The following is a 26,072-nucleotide window of genomic DNA, read 5'->3' on the forward strand; positions in this document are numbered from 1 at the left end:
GACCAGTGGCTGTTCATTTTCTTGGGAAATAAAATAATTAAAGATCAGAGAAAACAGAAAGGTTGGTACTAGGATTGCGAGGCGTGTGAGACAAAAAGTGAGATACAAACTCTGTAACTTTCTGGCATTGGAGTCTCCAGTTAAAACATGCACATCTGCTGCATTTTCACTGCATCTGTCTCCTGAGGCTTGGTGTACAATACCTAAGGAAACGAGCCAGCTCAGAGGGCAGGTTAAGAGCCTTTTTCTTTGTTACCATACTAGGAAGAAACTTGTGTTTCTCTGCTGTCTCTCAGCACTTCTCACACAAAATGTGTTGGTTTTTCCCTGACACCAACAACCAATTCTCCAACTCTCCAGACAGCAGCCTGGTATCCTAAAATTCAATTCTATTCTCACCCTAACCACCTGGAGTCGGGAGAGAATCCACAGTTAAGGGCTCGGTCCCACAAAACTGCCCATGATTCAGATGACCATCAAAAGTCCTGGGCCTTCCCATACTTTTGACCAGCTGGCTACAAACTGGGAGTCCCCTGACCTGCTCAGGTTCGATCATTTGCTATAATAGCTCACAGAACTGAGGGCAACACTAGTTTACTGGTTGTTATAAAGGGATACAGATGAGCATCCAGGTGAAGAGGTGCACAGGGCAGGCATAGGGAGGGTGCCAAGCTTCTATTTCCTCTCAGCATGCAGCACCCTCCCAGCTCCACCACGTACCCACCAACAAAGAAGCTCCCAACCTCATCATTTAGGGTCTTCATGGAGGGCCCATTAGATAGGTGATGGAACTCAACCTCCTGCCCTTCTCCACTCCCCAGAATTTGGGTGATGGAGTTGGAAGTCCCAAGCCTCTAATCCTGCCTTGGTCTTTCTGGCAACCAGCACCCATCTTGAAGCTATCTAGGGACTCCCAGCCACCAGTCATCTCATTAGCATACAAAAGACACTTATCACTCCAGGGATTCTGAAAGTCTTGTAAGCTCTTATGTCTCTAGAACCAGACACGAAGACTGAATATTATAACAGATGCTCCTATTGCCCTTATTGCTCAGGACATTACAAGGGTTTTAGGGGCTCTGTGCCAGGAACTAGGAGCAGAGACCAAATATATACTTCTTGCTGACACAACTTACTACATACTGTATGAGGTAATAGGAGCGTCACAGTGAATAAAACTTGCGCCAGCCCTGTGACCCTGTGCTCTAGTGGGTGCGACAGACTCTCAAATGGATTTGTGAACTCAGGATGGTGGGCAGTTTGTCAGGGGCCTCAGCAGGGTCATGAAGGAGAGAGAGCCACACAGAGCTCAGGCACAGTCCTGCCCAAACGCTCTGTAAACGTCTCAAATGAAAAGCATAGCTCTTTCCTCACCTCCTTTCCATATTGGGTGTTACTTCCCATGGCCTTATGGTAAATCCAAATTGTGGATGACAGGTCCCAGAACACATCACCCTTTCCCTCTTTTTGGATTTCATGCAGTGTCTCTTGTGGGCCACCTTTGTCCCCACTCTAGTGAGTTTTGCACGTGCCGTTCTGCTTGAGAAGACCCTCAGACCCTTCTTGGTTTTCAGAATTCCAACTCCTGTTCACTTCTCAGGTGAAAAATGATTTCCTTAAAAAGCCCCTCCCCCACAGGGAAGACAAGATCAGAGACCCTGCCATGTAATTGTGTTGAAACTTACACTTCCTGCTCCGTAACAAGCATGCTGTGTGTAATCACCTGCTCGACATCCTTCTTCCCTGTAAACTGTAAACTCCATGAGGACAGAAGTCATGTCTGTCTGGGATATTGCTGTGTCCTTAGTGCCTGACACATTTCATGATGGTGAGTGCTTAGAAATACCTGTAAGTTAGGACAGAAAACCAAACACTGCATGTTCTCACTCATAGATGGGAATTGAACAATGAGAATACTTGGACACAGGGTGGGGAACATCACACACCAGGGCCTGTCGGGGGGTGGGGGGCTGGGGGAGGGATAGCATTAGCAGAAATACCTAATGTAAACGATGAGTTGGTGGGTGCAGCAAACCAACATGGCACATGTATAGCTATGTAACAAACCTGCACGTTATGCACAAGTACCCTAGAACTTAAAATATAATAATAATAATAATAATAATAAAGAAATACTTGTGAGTTAATGAATGAAAAGATAAGCAGTAACATAAGTTATTTATCAATTTCTAGGAAGGAAGAATCCTTGTAATGATTTTCCCATAATGTACGTGGTTTCCACCTAATGATTTACAGGCTGTGCAAGCATTTCTTCAACATGCTGTCTCCAGCACCTCCTTGGAGTTTTAAAGATGAGCTGGCTACCTTTCTGTGTGGTTAAAATTGACATTTAGAACCAGTCAGGCTTTCTGAAGATGATCTTTGACAAGCTGAGGAAGTTCATTTCTATTCCTAATTTGCTGAGAATTTTAATCATGAATAGATGTTGAATTTCGTCACATACTTTTTCTGCATCAATTGATATAATCGTGTGGTTTTTTTTTTCTTTAGCCTATCGATACGATGGATTACACTGGTGAATTTTTGAATATTGAACCAGCCTTGCATCCCTGGAATAAACTTCACTTGATCCTGGTGCACAATTCTTTTTATATATTGCTGAATTATTTGCTGACATTTTTGCATCAATACTCCTTGCTAAAGGGTATTGGTCTGTTGTTTTCTTTTTGGTACTGCTCTTGTCTGGTTTGGTATCTGTCAGGGCAATATTAGCTTCATAAAATGAATTGAGAAGTGTTCCCTCCTCTTCTGTTTTTTGGAAGAAGTTGTATAGAATTGCTTTTATTTTGTAGAATTCACTAGAGAAACTATATGGACCTGGAGATTTTTTGGGGGAGGAGTTTTAAAATTACAACTTCAAATTTTAACTGTTTTTGCTAGTTGTAGGGCTATTCAGTTATTTTCTTCATATTGGTTGAGGGCTATTCATATTTTCTTCACCAACACAAACTGCAGTTGGTGTTTTTTGAGGAATTGGTTGTTGCAGTTGGTGTTTTTTGACGAACTGGTCCATTTCAGCTTAGATGTCATGTGTGTATATGGTTGCTCAAATATTCCCTTGTGAACTTTTTGATTTCTACAGGGTCTGTAGTGATTTCTACAGGGTCTGTAGTGATACAGTTTCATTCTCAAACTGATAATCTGTGGTTTCTGTCTTTTTGTCAGTCAGGGGTCAAAAGTGGGTTGCCTTGTGGCTGGACTATGGTGACGTCCATGTTCTCTGCGTTCTTTACGTCGTCCTTCCTGGCTCTACAGGGAGGGGAGTGCTCATTATCACCCAGCAGAGAAGAAAATCCCTCTTCTGCCCTTTTCCTTCTCTGACACCACCCCAATAGAAAAGCCAGGGTGTTCCTTACACTCTGGTGAGGATGGAATCTAAACAGCCCATTCAGACTTTGCTGCAGTTGGGGCCACCGTTTCTTCTGTGGTGTTTGGCTGGAGAGGAGCAGTTATTGTGTAAAACTTCTGTGCCTTGTGAGGTTGACTCTTCCCTATTCTCTTGTCTAGATAAAGCCGGCTATTGTTGGGGCTTTTGTTGCCTGTGCCCATTGGCATTTCTGGGCTGCCGGCTTCTTCAGCTCCAAGTCTGAGACATGAGAGACAAAAAGAAGACCCAGAGAACTGAATGCCATGGTCTGGGGGTCTCCAGCCAGCATTTCTTCTGCTATCTTTCAGAGTTATATTTGCTTTACATATAGTATCCAGGCTCTTTAGGTGTATAGAGTGGAATAAAGAAAAATGCATCTACTCCATCTTCCCAAAAACAGCAATCTGTTTTTTTCTGCTTTTTTCATCTTTTTTCATTTTTCACTTTTGTTTTTGTTAAAGAGATGGAGGTCTTACTATGTTTCCCAGGCTGGAGTGCAGTGATTATTCATAGGCGTGATCCCACTAATGATCAGCATGGGAGTTTTGACCTGTTGTATCTTTTTAAATTTTCATTTTCTTACTTTTTTTTTTTTGCACAGACATTTAAAACGATGAATTCAGGTATACCTGTCTCCTAACTTAACGGCCATTACTTTTGTCACTGATTATATCACTTCTAACCTAGTAAGAGAGATGATTACAGCAAAGAATTACTTTCTGTTGAAGATGGCCAAATAGGAACAGCTCCCAGCAAGTCCAATGCAGAAGGCGGGTGATATCTGCATTTCCAACTGAGGTACCCGGGTCATCTCATTGGGACTGGTTAGACAGTGGGTGCAGCCCATGGAAGGCAAGCAGAAGCAGGATAGGGCATCACCTCACCCAGGAAGTGCAAGGGGTCAGTGAACTCCCTCCCCTAGCCAAAGGACGCTGTGAGGGACTGTGCATTCTGGCCCAGATACTACACTTTTCCCTTGGTTTTTGCAACCCACAGACCAGGAGATTCCCTTGGGTGCCTACACAACCAGGGCCCTCGGTTTCAAGCACAAAACTAGGTGGCTGTTTGGGCAGACACTGAGCTAGCTGCAGGAGGCTCCCCCCCGCCCAGTGGCTCCTGGAATGCCAGCAAGAGAGAACTGTTCACTCCCCTGGAAAGGGGGCTGAAGCTAGGAAGCCAAGTGGTCTAGCTCAGCAGATCCCACTCCTATGGAGACCAGCAAGCTAAGATCCACTGGCTTGAAATTCTTGCTGCCAGCACAGGAGTCTAAAGTTGACCTGGGATACTCGAGCTTGGTGCAGGGAGGGGTACCTGCCATTACTGAGGGTTGAGCAGGTGGTTTTCCCCTTACAGTGTTAACTCTGACTGTGCAGAACTCATGGCAGTGTGGCAAAGTGCCTGAGGACAGGCTGCCTTTCTAGATTCCTCCTCACTAGGCAAGGCATCTCTGAAAGAAAGGCAGCAGCCCCTGTCAAGGGCTTATAGATAAAACTCCCAACTCCCTGGGACAGAGCACCCGCGAGAAGGGGCAGCTGCAGGCATAGCTTCAGCAGACTTAAACCTTCCTGCCTGCCAGCGCTGAAGAGAGCAGCAGATCTCCCAGCACAGTGCTCAGCTCTGCAAAGGGACAGACTGCCTCCTCAAGTGAGTCCCTGACCCCCGTGGCTCCTGACTGGGAGACACCTCCCAGCAGGGGTCGACAGACACCTCATACAGGGGAGCTCTGGCTGACATCAGGTGGCTGCCCCTCTGGGACAAAGCTTCCAGAGGAAGGAGCAGGCACCAATCTTTGCTGTTCTGCAGCCTCCGCTGGTAATGCCCAGGCAAACAGGGTCTGGAGTGGACCTCCAGCAAACTCCAACAGACCTGCAGCAGAGGGACCTGACTGTTAGAAGGAAAACTAACAAACAGAAAACAATAACGTCAACATCAACAAAAAGGATGCCCACAGAAAAACCCCATCCAAAGGCTATCAGCATCAAAGATCAAAGGTAGATAAATCCACAAAGACGAAAAAAAACCAGTGCAGAAGGGCTGAATATTCCAAAAACCAGAATGCCTCTTCTCCTCCAAATGATAACAACTCCTCTCCAGCAAGGGCACAAAACTGGATGGAGGATGAGTTTGACAAATTGACAGAAGTAGGCTTCAGAAGGTAGGTAATAACAAACTCCTCTGAGCTAAAGGAGCATGTTCTAACCCAATGCAAGGAAGCTAAGAGCCTTGATAAAAGGTTATAGGAGCTGCCAACTAGAATAACCAGTTTAAAGAAGAACATAAATGACCTGATGGAGCTGAAAATCACAGCATGAGAACTTCATGAAGCATACACAAGTGTCAATAGCCGAATTAATCAAGCGGAAGAAAGGATATCAGAGATTGGAGATCAACTTAATGAAATAAAGCCTAAAGACAAGATTAGAGAAAAAAGAATGAAAAGGAGTGAACAAAGCTTCCAAGAAATATGGGACTATGTGAAAAGACCAAACCTATGATTGATTGGTGTGCCTGAAAGTGACAGGGAGAATGTAATCAAGGTGGAAAACACCCTTCATGGTATTATTCAGGAGAACTTCCCCAACCTAGCAAGACAGGCCAGCATTCAAATTCAGGAAACACAGAGAACACAACTAAGATACTCCTCAAGAAGAGCAACCACAAGACACATAATCATCAGATTCACCAAGGTTGAAATGAAAGAAAAAATATTAAGGGCAGCCAGAGAGAAAGATCAGGTTACCTACAAAGGGAAGCCCATCAGACTAACAGTAGATCTCCCTGCAAAAACTCTACAAGCCAGAAGAGTGGGGACCGAGATTTAACATTCTTAAAGAAAAGAATTTTCCAACCCAGAATTTCATATCCAGCCAAACTAAGCTTCATAAGCGAAGGAGAAATAAAATCCTTTATAGACAAGCAAATGCTGAGATATTTTGTCACCACCAGCCCTGCCTTACAAGAGCTCCTGAAGGAAGCACTAAATATGGAAAGGAAAAACCAGTACAGGCCACTGCAAAAACATACCAAAATAAAAAGACCAATGATACTGTAAAGAAACTGCATCAACTAATGTGCAAAATAAACAACTAGCATCATGATGACAGGATCAAATTCACACATAACAACATTAGACTTAAATATAAATGGGCTAAATGCCCCAATTAAAAGACACAGACTGGAAAATTGGATAAAGAGCCAAGACCCATCAGTGTGCTGTATTCAGGAGACCCATCTGATGTGCAAAGACACACACAGGCTCAAAATAAAGGGATGGAGGAATATTTACAAAGCAAATGGAAAACAAACAAACAAAAAAAGCAGGGGTTGCAATCCTAGTCTCTGATAAAACAGACTTTAAACCAACAAAGATCAAAAAAGACAAAGAAGAGCATTACATAATGGTAAAAGGATCAATGCAGCAAGAAGAGCTAACGATCCTAAATATATATATATATATATATATCTCCAATACAGGAGCACCCAGATTCATAAAGCAAGTTCTTAGAGACCTACAAAGAGACTTAGACTCCCATACAATAATAGTGGGAAACTTTAATACTGTATATTAGACAGATCAACAAGACAGAAAATTAACAAGGATAGTCAGGACTTGAACTCAGCTCTGGGCAAAGCAGACCTAATAGATATGGAACTCTCCACCCCAAATCAACAGAATTGTACATTCTTCTCAGTACCACATAGCACTTATTCTAAAATTGACCACCAAATTGGAAGTAAAACACTCCTCAGCAAATGCAAAAGAATGGAAATCATAGCAATCCATTTCTCAGACCACACTGCAATCAAATTATAACTCAGGATTAAGAAACTCACTCAAAACCACAGAACTACATGGAAACTGAACAACTTGCTCCCAAATGACTGCTGTGTAAAAAACTGAACAACTTGCTCCCGGATGACTACTGGGTAAATAAATTAAGGCAGAAATAAATAAGTTCTTTGAAACCAATGAGAATAAAGACACAAGGTACCAGAATCTCTGGGACACAGTAAAGCAGCATTAAGAGGGAAATTTGTAGCACTAAATGCCCACATCAGAAAGTGAGAAATATTTAAAATTGGTACCCTAACATCACAATTAAAATAACTGGAGAAGCAAGAGCAAACAAATTCAAAAGCTAGCAGAAGACAAGAAATAACTAATATCAGAGCAGAACTGAAGGAGATAGGGACACCAAAAACCCTTCAAAAAAGTCAGTGAATCCAGAAACTGGTTTTTTGAAAAGATTAACAAAATAGGCCACTAGCCAGACTAACAAAGAAGAAAAGAGAGAAGAATCAAATAGACACAATAAAAAAAATAAAGGGAATATCACCACTGATCCCACAGAAATACAAAATACCATCAGAGAACACTATAAACACCTCTATGCAAATAAACTAGAAAATCTAGAAGAAATGGATAAATTCCTGTTCACATACACCCTCCCAAGACTAAACCTGGAAGAAGTCAAACCCCTAAGCAGACCAAAAACAAGTTCTGAAATTGAGGCAGTAATTAATAGCCTACCAACAAAAAAAAGCCCAGGACCAGTCGGATTCACAGCCAAACTCTATCAGAGGTACAAAGAGGAGCTGGTACCATTCCTTCTGAAATTATTCCAAACAATAGAAAAAGAAGGACTCTTCCATAACTCATTTTATGAGGCCAGCATCACTCTGATACCAAAACCTGGCAGAGACACAACAAAAAAAGAAAATTTCAGGTCAATATCCCTGATGAACACTGATGCAAAAATCCTCAATAAAATACTTGCAAACTGAATCCAGCAGCACACCAAAAAGCTTATCCACCACAATCAAGTTGGCTTCATCCCTGGGATGCAAGGCTGGTTCAACATACACAAGTCAATAAACATAATCCATCATATAAACAGAACCAATGACAAAAACCACATGATTATCTAAATAGATGCAGAAAAGGCCTTCAATAAAATTCAACACCCCTTCATGCCAAAAACCCTCAATAAACGAGGTATTGATGGAACATATTTCAAAATAATAAGAGCTATTTATGACAAACCCATAGCCAATATCATACTGAAAGGGTCAAAATCTAGAAGCATTCCCTTTGAAAACCGGCACAAGACAAGGATGCCCTCTCTCGCCACTCCCATTCAACATAGAATTGGAAGTTCTGGCCAGGGCAATCAGGCAAGAGAAAGAAATAAAGGGTATTCAAATAGGAAAAGAGGAACTCAAATTGTCTCTGTTTGCAGATGACATGATTGTATATTTTGAAATCCCCATCCCCTCAACCCAAAAACTCCTAATAAGCAACTTCAGCAAAGTCTCAGGATACAAAATCAATGTCCAAAAATCACAAATATTCCTATACACCAATAATAGACAGAGAGCCAAATCATGAGTGAACTCCCATTCACAATTGCTACAAAGAAAATAAAATATCTAGGAATACAACTTACAAAGGACACGAAGGACCTCTTCAAGATAACTACAGACCACTGCTCAAGGAAATAAGAGAGGACACAAATAAATGGAAAAACATTCCATGCTCATGGATAGGAAGAATCAATATCATGAAAATGTCTATACTGCCCAAAGTAATTTATAGATTCAATGCTATCCCCATCAAGCTACCATTGACTTTCTTCAGAGAACTGAAAAAGACTACTTTAAATTTCATATGGAAACAAAAAAAGACAAGACAATCCTAAGCAAAAAGAACAAAGCTGGAGGCATTATGCTACCTGACTTCAAACTATACTACAAGGCTACAGTGACCAAAACAGCATGGTACTGATACCAAAATAGGTATATAAACCAATGGAACAGAACAGAGGCCTCAGAAATAACACCACACATCTACAACCATCTGATCTTCGACAACCCTGACAAAAACAAGTAATGGGGAAATGATTCCCTATTTAATAAACGGTGCTGGGAAAACTGGCTAGCCATATGTAGAAAACTGAAACTGGACCCCTTTCTTACACCTTATATAAAAATTAACTCAAGATGGATTAAAGGCTTAAGTGTAAAACCTAAAACCATAAAAACTCTAGAAGAAAACCGAGGCAATACCATTCAGGACATAGGCATGGGCAGAACCTTAATGACTAAAACACCAAAAGCAATTGTAACAAAAGCCAAAATTGACAAATGGAATCTAATTAAACCAAAGAGCTTCTGCACAGCAAAAATTATCATCAGAGTGAAGAGGCAACCTACAGAATGGGAGAAAATTTTTGCAGTCTCTCCATCTGACAAAGGTCTATTATCCAGAATCTATAAGGAACTTAAACAAATTTACAAGAAAAAAACAAACAACCCCATCAAAAAGTGGGCAAAGGATATCAACAGATGCTTCTCAAAAGAAGACATTTATGTGGCCAACAAACATGAAAAAAAGCTCATCATCACTAGTCATTAGAGAAATGCAAATCAAAACCCCGAGATACCATCTCACACCAGTTAGAATGGTGATCATTAAAAAGTTAGGAAACAATAGATGCTGGAAAGGATGTGGAGAAATAGGAAAGCTTTTACACTGTCAGTGGGAGTGTAAATTAGTTCAACCATTATGGAAGACAGTGTGGTGATTCCTCAAGGATCTAGAACCAGAATTACCATTTGACCCAGCAATCCCATTACTGGGTATACACCCAAAGGATTACAAATCATTGTACTATAAAGACACATGCACACGTGTGTTTCTTGCATGCAGCGCTATTCACAATAGCAAAGACTTCCAACCAACCAAAATGCCCATCAACGAGACTGGATAAAGAAAATGTGGCACATATACACCATGGAATACTATGCAGCCATAAAAAAGAATGAGTTCATGTCCTTTGCAGGGACATGGATGAAGCCGGAAACCATCATTCTCAGCAAACTAACACAGGAACAGAAAACCAAACACTGCATGTTTTTGTTCATAAGTGGGAGTTGAACAATGAGAACATATAGACACAGAGAGGGCCTTGAACATTATACACTGGGGCCTGTTGGTGGGGTGGGGGGCAAGAGGAGGGAGAGCATTAGGACAAATACCTAATGGAAGTGGGGCTTAAAACCTAGATGATGGGTTGATGGGTGCAGCAAACCACAATGGTACATGTATACCTATGTAACAAACCTGCACCTTCTGCACATGTATCCCGGAAATTAAAGTAAAATAAAAAATAATTAAAAAAGAATTATTTTCTGTTTTTTAGATTATTTTTGTTTAATGTTAAACTCTTTGACCTTCATGGAATTTTCCACAGTTGTGGAAGTTAAAAAGAAACCTGTAGGTATGTGTTTGCTATTTCTATCTGCCTTTTCTGATAACACTGGTTAAATTATGCTTTCTTTCCTTATTGTTGTACAGCTTCTTACTTTATATGACATTCATGTACCTCCGTACATCATTGTGTGAATTTACTATTTCATCCCTGAGATACATTATGGGGTTAATAAGAACATATGGCGATGTGTTTAGCAGTGGTGTGGGGGAGTGTGGCATCATACTCTGAGAAGTGATGGCTCTTCTCTAGTGCTCCCTAGAAATCGTCTGCCACTTCTTCTAGCTAAATCATGCTATCAATTTGTTAAGCTCCATGGTATGTTTTAAGGATTTCTGATTGGCGTTTACCATCTTGAGTTTCTCTCCTAAAATTTTCTGCCTTCCTATTGCTTTCCATCTCAGTAAATAATCCCATTCTACACATTTGTTTGAACCTCAAACTATGGATTCATCCCTGATCATCTGTCTCACATCCTTTATCCAGGTCAGCAGCACATTCTGTTGGAGCACCTGTTACAATATGCCCCCCATCCCCCTCCTGCCCTACTCACCACCACTTTAATGGTTGGAAGCCACTCTCAGCCCTCTCCTGGATTGCTGAAAAAGACTCCTCACTGGCCTGCCTGCTTCTGTTTTTCAAAGGCAGCAGTGTTTTCAACGGTGGGGACCTGGTCATGACATTCCTCTGCTCAAAAGCCTCTCAGGAAATAACCAACTTCTGTCCCAGGGCCACAGGCTCTGCAGGCTCTAGCATTTTTCTGTCCCTCTGTCCTCATTTCTTACCTTGTTCTGCTTCATTCTCCCAGCTCCAGCCAGAGTAGCCTCTTTGCTCAAGGTGCTCCCAACTCAGGGCTTGTCCCCTTATTCTTTTCTTCCCTGCTCTGGAAAGTTCTTTCACTATTCAGGGCTTCACTTCATTCAGGGCTTTGTTCAGGTGTCACTCACCAATGAGGCTTCCCTGAGCACATTGATACAAAATATCCATCAAGAGGATTCTCCCATCAATCAAAAGGATTCTCTCACTGCTCTCTGCTTTTGTCTGCAGTGCTCATCACTGCGTGCTACTGTGTCTTTATTGGCTGACTGACTTATTTTCTATTTCCCACACTAGCCTGCAGCTCTCCAGTGCAGAGGTTTTGTTTAACACATTGCTACACCCCAGCACCTGAGGTCTCAATAAATGCATAATGAATGACAAAAATGATTGAATGAGGTTGATAATTTTTATGGCTTCCCCTTTTTCTCGATCATATATAATGCCTCAATATTCTTGATGTATAAAGGTTTGCTTGAATTTTCTAATATTATGTGCTATCTGCAAAAGATAAGGGTTTTTGTTGTTGTTGTTGTTGTTGTTATATGTAGGAGTTCTTTTTTATTGCTAAAGAGTCACATTCTGTCATTCGTCTCTTCTTGTTCTGGCTGGCTTTTTCCAGACTCTATGGGATCAAACATGGATCCATTTGAAAGTTGGGCTGTTCCTAAATGTTTTAGTCAACATTTTAAAAGAAAGTGTTGACTAAAGAAAACATACTTATTTTCACTAGTGGTTAATCACATCTGTTTGGTTTAACTTATTGGGCAGCCTTGATCTGCTTTTACCCAAATCCAATCTCTGGTTCTTTTGTTTCTTGGGAGGGACTTCTCCCTGTCACTCCATGGGCAGAAGACAGTGTGGTTCTGAGGTTTCTTCACTAGCTCCCACATGCTCAGAGAACAGAGGCAGCTCTTCAGAGATACAGCTTCTTCCTGTTGGCTTAGCCCTCCCCTCTGCTCCCCTGCAGCCCAAGCACCTCGTAACCAGGCCAGTCATGCACCTCTTTCCCATGGCGCCCAGCCTTTCCTCAAACCTGTGCTTGGCTTCCTTCTCCTTGGAATAGGAAAATCCACATCCAGCAATCTTAATGCCACCTCCTCCATGAAGTCTTCTTGAGTCTCTGCTTCTGAATGAACCCTCACACCCCCACTTCTCATCTCCTTTTTAATAGCATTTATCACTTTCCATCTTGCGTTATAATGATTTGTGCCCTTGTCTTATCTTCTGTGCCAACAAGCTGAAAATATTACTATCTGGTCCTTAACAGAAAAGTCTTGGCCAACCACTGGACTACACAGTAGGTCATACTTGCAGTAGCTCGTGGACAGCCTTGTAAAAGCCATCCAAAAATTCCTTTGCTTTTTTTCCCCCAATAACTGATATATTTGTCAATGACTGATACATTTTTTCCCAATAACTGATATATTTCTTGATAATATCAGGTAGGATGATGATTCCAAGAAAGCAAATTTTCTCTATTCAAGTTCATTTCTTCTTCAAGAAATACTTGGGGGAGGAAAAGCCATAAATGCATGCACATTTGTAATGTTTTATTTATTTTATTCTGTGAACAATGAAATTTAAGAAGCCTTCTTTTGTTTGTTGTCACTAATTACTTAGCTGATGAGTTTTACTTTGGTAGTTCATAAAAGCACAGACACCTGCCCAGAAAATCTTTTATGCCATCAGAGGGCATGTTACACAACACAGTTTCTCTGCTTATGTTCACCAAAAAGCACTGAACTAAGATCTTGTGTGACAGCCCTTCATTTAATTTCTTCTTGCCAATGAAACAATTTGGCAAACTCAGTAACTGCTGTCCTACTTTAAGAAAGGGTCATTCAGGCCAATTCTGAATGACCTGAGTACTCATAAAAGAAAGGAGTACAGATTTGAAAACATGAAACCATCTTATTTTTTTCAACAAGCATCCCTGGGTTTGTTGCTGTTCCTCTCTGATTTTGTTACCCCTGGATTTTCCTCTGCCTCACTTCCTCCATGCCTCCTTTGGCATGATGTTCTGGTCGGTCTTCATTCTAACTGCATCCTGCATTTATTTTGCCATGTTTTATTTGCTGCTTCTTGGTTGTTTCTGCTTGCCCGAGTTTCTGGTCAGGATCAGTCTCATTGCCTGAGCATGGCAGGTGCATTGGCCTCTGTAATGCATTTCAGCAGTTTCTGTTCCTTCCTTTCTCTCTTTTCCCTGGTTTCCATTCTCCAACCTTAGGAATGAGAATGTCCTTTTGATACAACAAGAAGAGCAGCACCCCATGTGAAAGCATGGGTCTCTGAGGCTGCTGGGTCAGTGAAAGGAAAGAAAAAGGTGAAAGAGGAAATGGGAGTCTCCAAAACCAGTCCTCATCCATTTTCCTGTTTGTCTCCATGGATCCTATGGCTTCTGTGCATTTCTTTAAAACTGTTTTCTCTTGCCTTCTTACATATAGGAGGGGAAGGCAACTAAAATGTGGAGGCATTTGTGATGTTAGAGGCACAGTGGTAAGTACTGTGCAGTTGACTGCCTGGTTATAGGTACAGTTCTTTACCCAGCAGGTGCATTTGTGTCTGTTTCACAGATGAGTAGGTGGGGCCTGGGCATGTTAGGAACCTTTCCACAATCACAGGCAGAGAGCGGGAGGGCTGGGTTTCAAGTAAGGGGGCAGTCCTCCGATGGCATGCTGCAGGCCCATGGCAGAAACCCCCAGATTGCTACCGCGTTAAGGAAAGGAAGTGATTGCATTTGGATATTAGGGGACTGGCGATGCTGCTGTTGGCTGACTCTTTTTTTTTTTTTTTTTTTTTTTGAGACGGAGTCTCACTCTGGCTGACTCTTATCACACACTAGCAGGTGCACATAGAAGCAAGAGTCAGCTTGGGGGAACAGAGACATGGTTTTCAGGGAACTTTTTTTATTTCCTCATTTATCAGTGAGGTCAGTGGGCTTGCCAGAGGTCATAGGTAAAGAGCAGCTGCACCCATTGAATACATTTAGTCCCCACAAATTATTGGAGCCTTTTGTAGTATAAATATTAAAATAAAGCTAGATTTGAATGCTCAACATACAGATGATCACTTTATTATTTAACAGTTCTTTAAACCTTTTCAAATTTTTACAGTTATATTGCTTTGGCTCACAAAATGTTTAGTGCTATGGGTTTAGTCCTGTTTGTAAGCTCTTAAGGATTTACTTACTAAAACTTCTGTGACTGTAAGTATCTAAGGACTTATTCTATCACTTTAATAGTCATTTATCACTTAACAAAGGGGATACGTTCTGCAAAACGCATCATTAGGCGATTTTGTCATTGTGTGACATCATAGGGCGTGCTTACACAAACCTAGGTGGTACAGCTTACCACACACCTAGGCTATATGGTGTTGTCTACCAGCCTATCGCTCCTAGTCTACAAACCTGTGCAGCATGTTACTGTACTGAATACTGTAGGTATTTGTAACACAACAACGATTATTTATGTATTTAAACATATCTAGACATAGAAAAGGCATCATAAAAATGTAGTATAAAGGATTAAAAGTGGTATACCTGTATAAGGCACTTACTATAATGGAGTTTGCAGGACTGGAGATTGCTCTGGGTGAGTCAGTGAGTGAGTGGTGAGTGAATGTGAAGTCCTAGACATTAGTGTACACTACTGTAGACTTCATAAACACTGTACATTAGTCTATGCTAAATTTATTTAAAAATGGTTTTTTTGTAATAACACTTAGCTTGAAACACAAACACATTGTACAGTACAGCAACACAAAAATGTTTTCTTTCTTTATACCCTTATTCTTTTTTTTTTTTTTTTGAGTTCAACTTCCATCTCCTGGATTCAAGTGATTCTCCTGCCTCAGTCTCCCAAGTAGCTGGGATTACAGGCACCCGCCACCACACCCAGCTAATTTTTTTATTTTTACTAGAGATGGGATTTCACCATGTTGGCCAAGCTGGTCTCAAACTTCTGACCTCAGATGATCCACCTGCCTCGGCCTCCCAAAATGCTGGGATTACAGGTGTGAGTCACCACGCCTGGCCTATACCCTTATTCTGTAAGCTTTGTAAATTAAAAAATAGTTTGTTGATATTTAAACTTTTTTGTTTAAAAACAAGACATAAACATACACATCGGCCTAAGTCTACACAGGGTCAGGATCATAAAGGTGTCACTAGGCAACAGGAATTTTTCAGCTCCATGATAATTTTATGGAACCACCATCATATATGTGGTCAATTGTTCACTGAAACATTGAATGTGGTACATGACTGTATTATCTTTCTATAATTCAGATAAATTTCTGTCCTACTCTGTTCCTGTTGCTATATAACAGAAGACCACAACTGGATAATTTATAAATAACATTTATGTTTTCACAGTTCCAGAGGCTGGGCAGTCTAAGCTCAGGGCACTGGCATTTGGTGTCTGGTGAGTGCCTTCTTGTTTCAGCCTCACATGGCAGAAGGCAGAGGGCATGTGAGAGCAGAAGAGCAAACCAGCCAGCAAGGCTGTGAGAAGCCTCTGTTGTGAGGGCCTTCATCCCACCAATGAGGAAGGAGCCCTCATGGCCTAATCACCCCTTAAAGGCTCCATCCACCTCTTACAGCTATCACGTTGGCAACACCTAAGTTTTAGAGGGGGGACAGCCAAAGCGTAGCATTCTCATATTCTGCTTTAGTTCTAAAACGTATTGAATGCCTGAAGGATGATTGCTGTTGTCTTGCAAATAAGTGCGCTCCAAACTTAAGCTCTGTCCAGTGACCTTCGTGTGTTAAGTCACTTTCCACGTTGCCTCCATGTGCTGGCCCAACCCACATCTCTCTCCTCTTTCCCTACAGGCCTCCTCCTAACATGTTCTCTGTTTTAAAGCCACATGGGCTCTACCATGAATTAAGAGATGGATATTTCCCACCATTTTTCCATTTACTAGAGAAGCCCCTTTATGGCTCTGTTTAATGCCTATCTTTTAAGCCCTGCCCACATATTGCCCTACTCTGGGTCTTCCTAAGCAGACTTCCTCTTCCTCTGTTTCCATAGCACTTGGCTGGGGCTTGACCACACTTTGCCTTGTATTAGAGTAAGTCGTAAATACATTTTGGGAACTTGATTGGGAACTATGTGAGATTAGAGATCATGGCATGTTTATATCCCTCATAGAGTAGTTTCTTGAGGCATCCTGACGAATTGATTGGGTTGTCTCTGAAGGAGCAAACGTCTCAAATATTAAACCTATTCAGTGTTCCAAATGCAAGAATCAGACGTTAAAAATAAATAAATTGCCAATGTTTCTGAATGCCACAGATGAGAGTAGTAATCTAAAAATGGGCTGTGACCCAACCACCTTGGTAATAAGACCCTGGATCTCTTTCAGCTTCAATTCCCGCTTAAATTTTTACAAAGCATGAAAATAACTGCCTTGCCTACTCATTAGGGTTTTTATGAGGATGAAATGAGATGTTACATCTGAAAGTGTTTTAGAAATCACTGAATTGTTTCAAATATAAAATTGCACCGGGTGCAGTTACTCATGTGTGTAATCCCAGAACTTTGAGAGGCCGAGGTGGGCGGATCACCTGAGGTCAGAAGTTCGAGACCAGCCTGGCCAACATGGCAAAACCCCGTCTCTATTAAGAATGCAAAAATTAGCCAGGCATGGTGGTGCGTGCCTATAATCCCAGCTATTCGGGAGGCTGAGGCAGGGAGAATTGCTTGAACCCGGGAGGCAGAGGTTGCAGTGAGCCGAGATTATGCCACTGTACTCCAGCCCAGGTGACAGAGCAAGACTCCATCTCAAAAAAAAAAATAATAATAATAATAATAAAATTGTGTTATTCCATTTCCACAGTTCCAGCCCTGAAGAAAATCTCAACGGGGATTTAGAAAAAATAAAATCTGTACAATGTAGATAATGTGTACCTATAGCACTCCAATTTTAATGTAACATTAATTTTTTGTCTACATGTGCTTCATGAATAGTTTTAAGGGAAACCTCTGGTTTGCACTGTAATCTGGGAAGCCATTGTAAAGACAGTGATACTGACTTGGGAGATGGTGAAACAGGACCCACTGGTTCTATCAAAGGGAACCAATTTCCTGTCTCCCAAATTCCTCCATAACCCAAGTTGTGTGTTTTTATTTTTTCCTTACCAGGCTTCCATCTGTATCACAAGTTGCCCACAATAGTGCCTGAGAGCTGCCTTCTTATAATGGTTGGACTTCTACTAGGTGGGATTATTTTTGGTGTTGATGAGAAGTCTCCCCCTGCAATGAAGACTGATGTATTTTTCTTGTACCTCCTCCCACCCATCGTGCTGGATGCCGGCTATTTCATGCCCACTCGCCCATTCTTTGAGAACATTGGCACGATTTTCTGGTATGCTGTGGTAGGGACACTTTGGAATTCCATTGGCATTGGGGTGTCTTTGTTTGGTATCTGCCAGATCGAAGCATTCGGCCTCAGCGACATCACTTTGCTCCAGAACCTGCTCTTTGGCAGCTTAATCTCAGCTGTCGATCCTGTGGCTGTGCTTGCTGTCTTTGAGAACATTCACGTCAATGAGCAGCTCTACATCCTGGTCTTTGGAGAGTCCCTGCTGAATGATGCAGTAACAGTGGTGAGTCACATTCACACTGCATGACTCCAACAGGTGGGGGCTGCCCAGCCACCTGCAGTGGCTCTCTGCACCTCAACTGGCAGGGGCGAGACCCTGCACACAGGGTGGTTTCATGAGCAATTGCCCAGGGCCCTTCACTTGGTTTAATGCTCTGACATCACTGTCTTATAATTCTTAATACTTTTAAACTTATTATTTATAATTTATTTATTATCATAAAACTGTCTCCTCATTTTCATTTTGCACGGGGCCCCACAAAATATGTAGCTGGTCTGTGCTGACAAGGCCCTGTTCATGCCAGAGGAACATATGATTTTGGCCTTTGCAACTCTGATGATTTATCATTTTGGCATTTTCAAAAATGATGGTCTTCGATCATAACTTAAAAGCCTTCAGATCCCAGAGTTCTTTGTGAGAAGTAATACTGTCAGTATCCAATGTATATAACACAGGTGAAATGATAATACCTGCTAAGTGCCATTCTCTATCTGGGGATGCTTTAGTTATCATGTTAATGATTTTACGGAAAGTTTTTGTCACACGCTCACTGCTCACTTTCTGTTACTACTCAACCAGCACATTTCTGGCCCTCATCACCTTCTCATAAATGAGTGTTTATTCAGAAGGCACAAATTATTTGTAATCCTCTCTTAGATTACATATAATTAGAGTCAGGGGCTGTTATGATCTTAAGGTTAGCAGAATTTACTTCTACCCTGCCTTCTGAACACAGGCAAGGATTGAGAGAAGGGATGAGAAAGCCTCTCCTTTTACCCACATACCTCCAAAGAGCTCTGTGTCCACCAGTTAAAGACACTCAAGTGATGCTCAATTGATAAATCAGTTAGGGAGCACTGATGATGCTGTTTTCTGTTAGCCACAGCTCGGTAGTAGTAAAGGTGACAGTAATGATAGCCACTAACTTGTGAATGCTCACTTTGTGCTCAGGTCTCTATAACAAATTATGAAACAGGCATTCCTCCCATTATTCAGATAAGAAAAGCGAGGCAGAAAAAGACTGTGTTTAAAGGACTTAATTTTTAATTCCCTCTCCATTTGCTCTTATCATTAAAATGCCATTCCTGACTCATTTAAAAGTCTACATAGTAGGCCGGGTGCAGAGGCTCATGCCTATAATTCTGGGAGGCTCATGCCTTTGGGAGGCTGAGGCAGGTGGATCACTTGAAGGTCAGGAGCTCGAGACAAGCCTGACCGACATGGTGAAACCCTGTCTCTACTAAAAATACAAAAAAAAAAAAAAAAATTAGCTGGGCATGGTGGTGAGCGCCTGTTATCCCAGCTACTTGGGAGGCTGAAGTGAGAGGATCGCTTGGGCCAGTGAGGCGGAGGTTGCAATGAGCCAAGATCATACCACTGCATTCCAGCCTGAGCAACAGAGTGAGACTCCATCTCAATAATAATAATAATAATAAAATAAAAGTCTACATAGAAACCGATTTATTCTCTGTTAGCTTGTATTCTACTGCAAAAGCAAATCCTCAGAATGAATAAAATGTCATCTCTAAGGACATCCATTAACTTCATGTGAACATTATTGTATAGAAGATAATTTATTGATCACAATTTGTAGTATAGATATTTTAAGACAGCTAAGTTACCTCACTTAAGTAACAAAATCCGCTTCATATATTCCATTATTCATGAACTGAGTAGTCATTAACTTAGCAATATTAAATTTTAACTGGGAAACTGCCATAATAGTAGAGACATTTTATAACTCATTCTAATTTCCAGAGGCAGAAGGCATGAAGTTTTCCATTCTGACTTATGCTCGATACGTAAATTTTACCCTGTCGAGGGAGACTGAGGACCTTTGAATGGGAATTCCTGGAGTAAGTCTATTTAGTGCAAAGGGAACTTTACAAAGAAATAAAAGCTCCTGTTGCAGTCCTTCTAGGGCAGCTCAGTAGAGTCAAATTCATTTCAGAATGACACACCAGGCCTCCACACTGCTTTCCCACCTCTGATCAAATTTTTATTCAGACATCTCCGTGGTCCATTCTTTGAGTTTGTCCCAAATCAGATCTCAGGATAGGGTCTGGCTAAGTCACTGTTTAGAGTATGCAAAGGTAGCAGGCCATCCAGACACACACCCTGTGCTTCCTCTCAGGAGGCACAGAGGCACAACTGTGGTTTTATGGAAAGAAAGGGAGGGCTGACCCAGGGAAGGCAGGCGGCCAAAGTGAGAGCTTGTCACTCTACTCAGAAGAAGGGCACAGACAGAGCAAGGCCCTGGCTGGTGCTTTGAGGTGGAAGCTCTTATCAAGGAATGGCCAGAGCCTGTCAGTCAGAACCACTGTCGTGGTTTCATATCTAAGAGCCTCCCTTGGTAACTTACTTGCCCTGGCTGAGAGTCCATGGACTCTCAAAGCCAGACCCACAAGATATCAGGGCATGCCCACAGGTTTGCCAAAGAATAAACTACTAGACGTTTCTCTCGCTGAATTGTCTGAGTACTGTACTGAATTGAGCGTGTGTTAAGAATAATTAGAACAATGGTGTCAAAAATTCTAATTTTATCTCCTAGTCAGGTACCTTCAAAGAATAGAGGTGGAGATGTTTTGTGGAAGATTCTTTGATTCATTCATTCAGGCTTATCTGTAGGAGAGGTTAAAGGAACTCATGGACTTTGGAAAGGTATTAAAAATATGGGCCATGATGCATACAGCAAAAACTGTGAGTCACTAGGAGTTGCAAATAGAAGAATAGGGGTTAGTTTAAGGAACTCACGGACTTTGGAAAGGTATTAAAAATACGGACCATGATGCATACGGCAAAAACGATGAGTCACTAGGAGTTGCAGATAGAAGAATAGAGGTTAATCGGAGAAAATTCATTGTCACAGTATATAATCTCGAGGATGGGTAACATGGTAGGTTAGTGCCATTAACTCCTTTCCCAAATTATGATAAATTCAACATTGAGCTAGAAAAGCTGAAGCGAAGAAAACTTAGCATGAAAATGTCTCAAAGCAAAAGAAATGCAGATCAAACACTTCATGCTATTGTACAGGGCTGTAGTAGATTAGAAGTAACTAGAGACATGACAATTGAAAAAAATAAACGTGTGATTTTTAAATAGGATTGTGGTGTTTTCCGTTAGAATAAATGTTGCATGAAAACTTTCCAAAATTTCCCTATTAGGCAAAGATTTTTCAGATGATTTCTAGAACATGTTAATGCAGCCACTGAATATTCTAATAAATTTTCCGAGAAGACTTAAAGAGTTTCCTCCATCTGCTCATAACCGGGCTTGGTTAAGGAGAGCTGGCTCTGTAGAGAGAAGCCAGTAATGGACCCCAGAGGCCCAGTCACTGTGTGCTGTGGAGTGGAAAGTAACTTTAGGAAGATGGAGGGTAAGCAGTGACCACTTGGATCTTAATTTTGATTTTGCAAACAGCAGAATAGTTCTAAAATTTCATATGCAAAATGATTATCCTGTATGTTTCATACAGGAAGAAATTACCTGAACATTTTTTTTTCTGAGACAGAGCCATTCTGATAGACGACTGTATTTGTATAATTTGCACCCTTGCTTTATATGATTTCACAGAATTAGTGTGCTTTTAAAATCAAAGTTCAAAGTTCCTAACTCCTAATGTTAATATATATATGTTTGCAATTTAAAAATATCATTAAGCAGTATAGCTTTGATTATTTGAAAGATTTCAAAGCTGTCAAATTAGCCCATGACAGAATTTAGTACATAGGTATCACTGACATTTTAATCTAAGGATAAAGTGTCAAGGGGAGACCAACTTTGCACCGACTCACTAGAGTCATTTGTAGCCCACATACATAATATATACACATAACACATATACCTATGTAAATTAAAATTCTAAAACACTTCTCGGCATAGATTCCCTCATAATACAATTAAAGGATTTAACTGGAATGAACTAAGTATGTGGTTTCGGCCAGTTGTAACCAGAAGAATTTTATCTCGTGCTGATCACTAACTAGGTATCAGGTTCATTGTAAAACAGGTGGGAGGTTGTGGAAAGCTTTCTGGTTGTTAAGGTAACGCTCCTACCTGAGATATTAGCTCTGACACTGCCGTGGCATCTCAGGCAGGAGAAGGATCAAAATGGAGCTTTGGCTCAATGTGCTGAGAGTACAGTGCCTGTGACCCATCTTAACTCTTTGCAGAGTCTAAGGGGGGATTTAAGACTGGCTGTACCTTTGATAGATTTGATGCATTAAGTTGCCAGGAAAATAGTTTTGTAAGGATTAGGAATGTGCGACCCAGCTGCAGATGCCCGTTAATCTGTGGAAGGAGTACCTGGGCTTCCCTCAGAGAACTCTTCAGTGCACTGGATGGACTAGGGTGTAGAGATGAGAGGGAGGAAAAGAAGAAGGAGACTCAGCTCTGTGCTAAAGGAATTTCTAGTTTTGTTGGGGACATGGGGCACTCACTCAAAACTCAGCACCAACAGTACAAGATGCTGAATTTTCTGGGAGATCATCTGTGGTGCAGGAGGTCAGAGAGCTGGGTATTTGCAAAGGCTGGAGGGGTCCAGGAGGGCTCCTGGGGGCAACAGCAGCTTCAGCTGTGCCTTAGAAGATAGGTAAAGGTTCCCTAGATTTAGGTGCAGGTTGCTGGCAAGAGAAAGGACAAGGAAAGGAAAGCAGGAGCAGGAGTGAATAAACACGGTGTGTTTTATGGAACAGTGATGAAATCCTTTGCAGTCTGAAGTGTGTTAGAAAGCAGTTTAAAAAAAAAAAGCGTCCCAGGTGTTTTGAGACTATGAGGACTTCCTGATGTGAAAATGGAGTGGCAGCCTTTGAAGGAAGTAGGTCTCGTAGTGGCTGCAGTGGGATTAGAGCAAAGAAGAGATGAGCCTCCTAGGTGCAGGCTGGAGGCTGGAGACAGAACTGTGGTGCCTGAGTGGCCCTGGAGAGAGGCTGTCCATGCAGAAGCAGATGGCTGGGAAACCCGCCTCTCCTCTGGAACACTGGTGACTGCCCCTTTTGCCTTTGGCTGTTTGGAGGCAAGGGGTATATATAGCACATCTGTGATCCTGTCTCAGGAAGTAACTGTGGCGTGTTGATGCCGATGAAAACCGATGCTGACAGCAGGTTCAAAGTGGAAGTGGGTACTACATGAAGCCATTTTCTTCTCTGTCTGGCAAACAATGATGCCTTTAAAATATTTAAGTTTTCAGGAGAATGAGTCTCTTTTGTTCTTCTCTGAAGTCATTTCTTGGTGGTAGGATGGCAAATGATCTTGAGTGTTACACCAACAATTAGGGAAAAGGAAATGTTCACTGTTTCCTAGGGAATAATCCACTATTTTTCAAAGCCAACAGATATTTATTGCCATCTACTAGGCAACTTGGAAGATGTAAATTGTAATAAGGTGCTAATTGATCACAAGGAGCTTACAATCCAGTAGAAAGGAGTAAAGAATAACATATTAAACCCATATTGTGGTAGGCTATGACCACAAAGTGAAGTAAAAAGTGAGATGGCATTTGCCAGGCCGCACACTGCTTACCAGGCAGTATGACTTCACTCTCCCATGATTGAACCTTGAACAACTTAATCAGGAGGTCAGGAGACTTGGATGCTAATATTGCCTCTGACATTTTGTGTCATTTGACCTTGAACAAATGGGATCAGTTTTGAGTTTCTCAGAACCCAAATGAGGGTGTAGCACAGCCTTTCTCCCTAACGTCCTTATCAGTCGGTTTTCCTGGAGATTCCAGGTGCTCCCAGAGTTGTAAATATCACAGTGAAAAAAGAAGCAGTCCACCTGCTTGGCTGGTATTTGACTTGCTTCTCTTGTGAAAAGAAAGTGGTGGGGCTGCAGCCATGACTTTCCATTTCAGTTCGCTGAGTGGCCCCAGACACAAGTTGAAAGCATATTGTCCACCAGACATGAAGTGCCCGACATTCTTGAAGCCTTCCTTAAACCAAGACTATGTAAAGAACTAAACAACAGGCTGGGCGTGGTGGCTCATGCCTGTAATCCTAGCATTTTGGGAGGCCGAGGTGGGTGGATCTCTTGAGGTCAGGAGTTCAAGACCAGCCTGGCCAACATCATGAGACCCCATCTCTACTAAAAGTACAGCAATTAGCCGGGTGTGGTGGCGCCTGCCTGTAATCTCAGCTACTTGGGAGGCTGAGGCAGGAGAATGGCTTGAACCCGGGAGGCAGAGATTGCAGTGAGCTGAGATCAAGATCACGCCACTGTACTCCAGCCTGAGTGAGAGTGAGACTCAAAAAAAAAAAAAAAGAACAACAGAGCAGTCTCATTACAGCATGAAGTTTTGCTGATGTACCTTCCCATTTCTTTGTAACAAAATGTAAGATAAATCTATTTTTAATTGTTCTTGAAGAATAAGAAAACCTAGTGTTTCATTTACAAAATATGTATGAAGTTTCAGCAGATGCACACACACACACACACACACACACACACACATACATATGAGTTTGCTGCCTCTTTGCTTGAAGAAAATTCCTTTGGGTGTGTCTCAGTTACACCAGACATGTATGTGTGGGCGGGGAGAGGAGGTGGAGTGTGGAGTGAGGAACTGGTGACTGGGAGGATGACTGACTCATCTTGGGTACCTGTCCTGATGCGTAGGTCCCTTCTGTCATGTGGCTCCACAATAGGACCTTATAAGGTAAATGTGTTCACAGCAGCACTGATAAGCTTTCTCACTGTCATATTACTTACCAAGCAATGGTAACATGAGCTGGGTGTGCTGGATAGCAAACAAATATTTTAAAATAATCTTTCAGATGATATCTGGAAAAAATAATGTTTTTGGAATAAGTTATGCAATAACTTTGAAATTGCCTCTCCCTTACTTTTAGAAATAAATTCCCTGACAACTCACTTTTATTGAAAGGTTTTTTGGTTAGTTTAAAGCTACAGTATTAAAATATGAGACAAATGAATACACAATGATTGTCATTTTCCTACTTGGGTACACAGAAGAAATGTCCTTATTAGAAGTCCAGGTAGATGTGTTTGTGCCCAGAGTGACAATGGGGAAATGGGAAAGGGTCTTGACAAGGTGTTTTTTTTTTTCCTGCAGGTCCTGTACAACTTGTTCAAGTCGTTTTGCCAGATGAAAACCATTGAGACCATTGATGTGTTTGCAGGAATCGCCAACTTCTTTGTTGTGGGAATCGGTGGGGTGCTGATTGGCATCTTCTTGGGCTTTATAGCGGCATTTACTACTCGATTCACCCATAATATCCGAGTGATCGAGCCACTGTTTGTTTTCCTGTACAGTTATTTGTCCTACATCACAGCTGAAATGTTTCACCTCTCAGGCATCATGGCGTAAGTACTTCTTTGTTAAAAGTGCTCGATGATGGCATTTCATTGAATGCATGCATTCTCAGCCAAGATATTAAAGTTGAATAAGTTATATGAAACACTAGGTTTTCTTATTCTTTTAAGAAAAATTAAAAATAGATTTTTCGGACGGGCACAGTGGCTCACGCCTGTAATCCCAGCACTTTGGGAGGCCGAGACGCGTGGATCACAAGGTCAGGAGATCGAGACCATCCTGGCTAACATGGTGAAACCCCGTCTCTACTAAAAATACAAAAAATTAGCCAGGCGTGGTGATGGGCCCCTGTAGTCCCAGCTACTCGGGAGGCTGAGGCAGGAGGATGGCATGAACCCGGGAGGCGGAGCTTGCGGTGAGCCGAGATTGTGCCACTGCACTCCAGCCTGGGCCACACAGCAAGACTCTGTCTTAAAAAAAAAAAAAAAAAAAAAAAAAAAAGATTTTTCTTATGTTTTGTTACAAAGAAATGGAAATATGTATCAGCAAAACTTATGCTACCATGATCTGTTGCTCAGATAGAAAGCTGCTTAAACATTCTTCTGGGTCTCATGAAATATGACAGTAAACTGTTGGGGTGGATCTTGCTCAGGCACCAAGAATTGTACGAGCTTGATGCCCAATCAGGGTTGCCCACGTGGGAACCTATAA

General features: G+C 41.7%; 1 protein-coding gene across 2 annotated transcripts in view, besides 2 other annotated features; it reads left to right on the forward strand.

The window, feature by feature from the left end:
- Window positions 1-26,072, forward strand: part of SLC9A2 (solute carrier family 9 member A2) — a 91,803-nt gene that overhangs the window by 20,387 nt on the left and 45,344 nt on the right. Inside the window, exons 2-3 of one of the 2 annotated variants that reach the window (NM_003048.6) lie at window positions 17,625-18,088; window positions 25,161-25,411. In NM_003048.6, the coding sequence (NP_003039.2) occupies window positions 17,625-18,088; window positions 25,161-25,411 (715 nt within the window). The remainder of the gene's footprint in view (window positions 1-17,624; window positions 18,089-25,160; window positions 25,412-26,072) is intronic. The other variant, XM_047445572.1, reaches the window with a different exon arrangement.
- Window positions 1,004-1,232: a silencer, noted in NCBI's record as "fragment chr2:103257402-103257630 (GRCh37/hg19 assembly coordinates)". NCBI's record gives its function as "represses an EF-1alpha promoter that drives an FKBP-Casp9 reporter gene in an ReSE screen in K562 erythroleukemia cells {active_cell/tissue: K562}" and the evidence as "EXISTENCE:reporter gene assay evidence [ECO:0000049][PMID:32094911]".
- Window positions 24,290-25,489: an enhancer, noted in NCBI's record as "P300/CBP strongly-dependent group 1 enhancer chr2:103280688-103281887 (GRCh37/hg19 assembly coordinates)". NCBI's record gives its function as "activates an origin of replication core promoter dependent on BRD2, BRD4, P300/CBP, MED14 and CDK7 cofactors, with strong dependence on P300/CBP, by STARR-seq in HCT116 cells {active_cell/tissue: HCT116}" and the evidence as "EXISTENCE:reporter gene assay evidence [ECO:0000049][PMID:35650434]".

Source organism: Homo sapiens, chromosome 2, assembly GCF_000001405.40.
Source record: "Homo sapiens chromosome 2, GRCh38.p14 Primary Assembly".
Classification (NCBI taxonomy): Eukaryota; Metazoa; Chordata; class Mammalia; order Primates; family Hominidae; genus Homo; species Homo sapiens.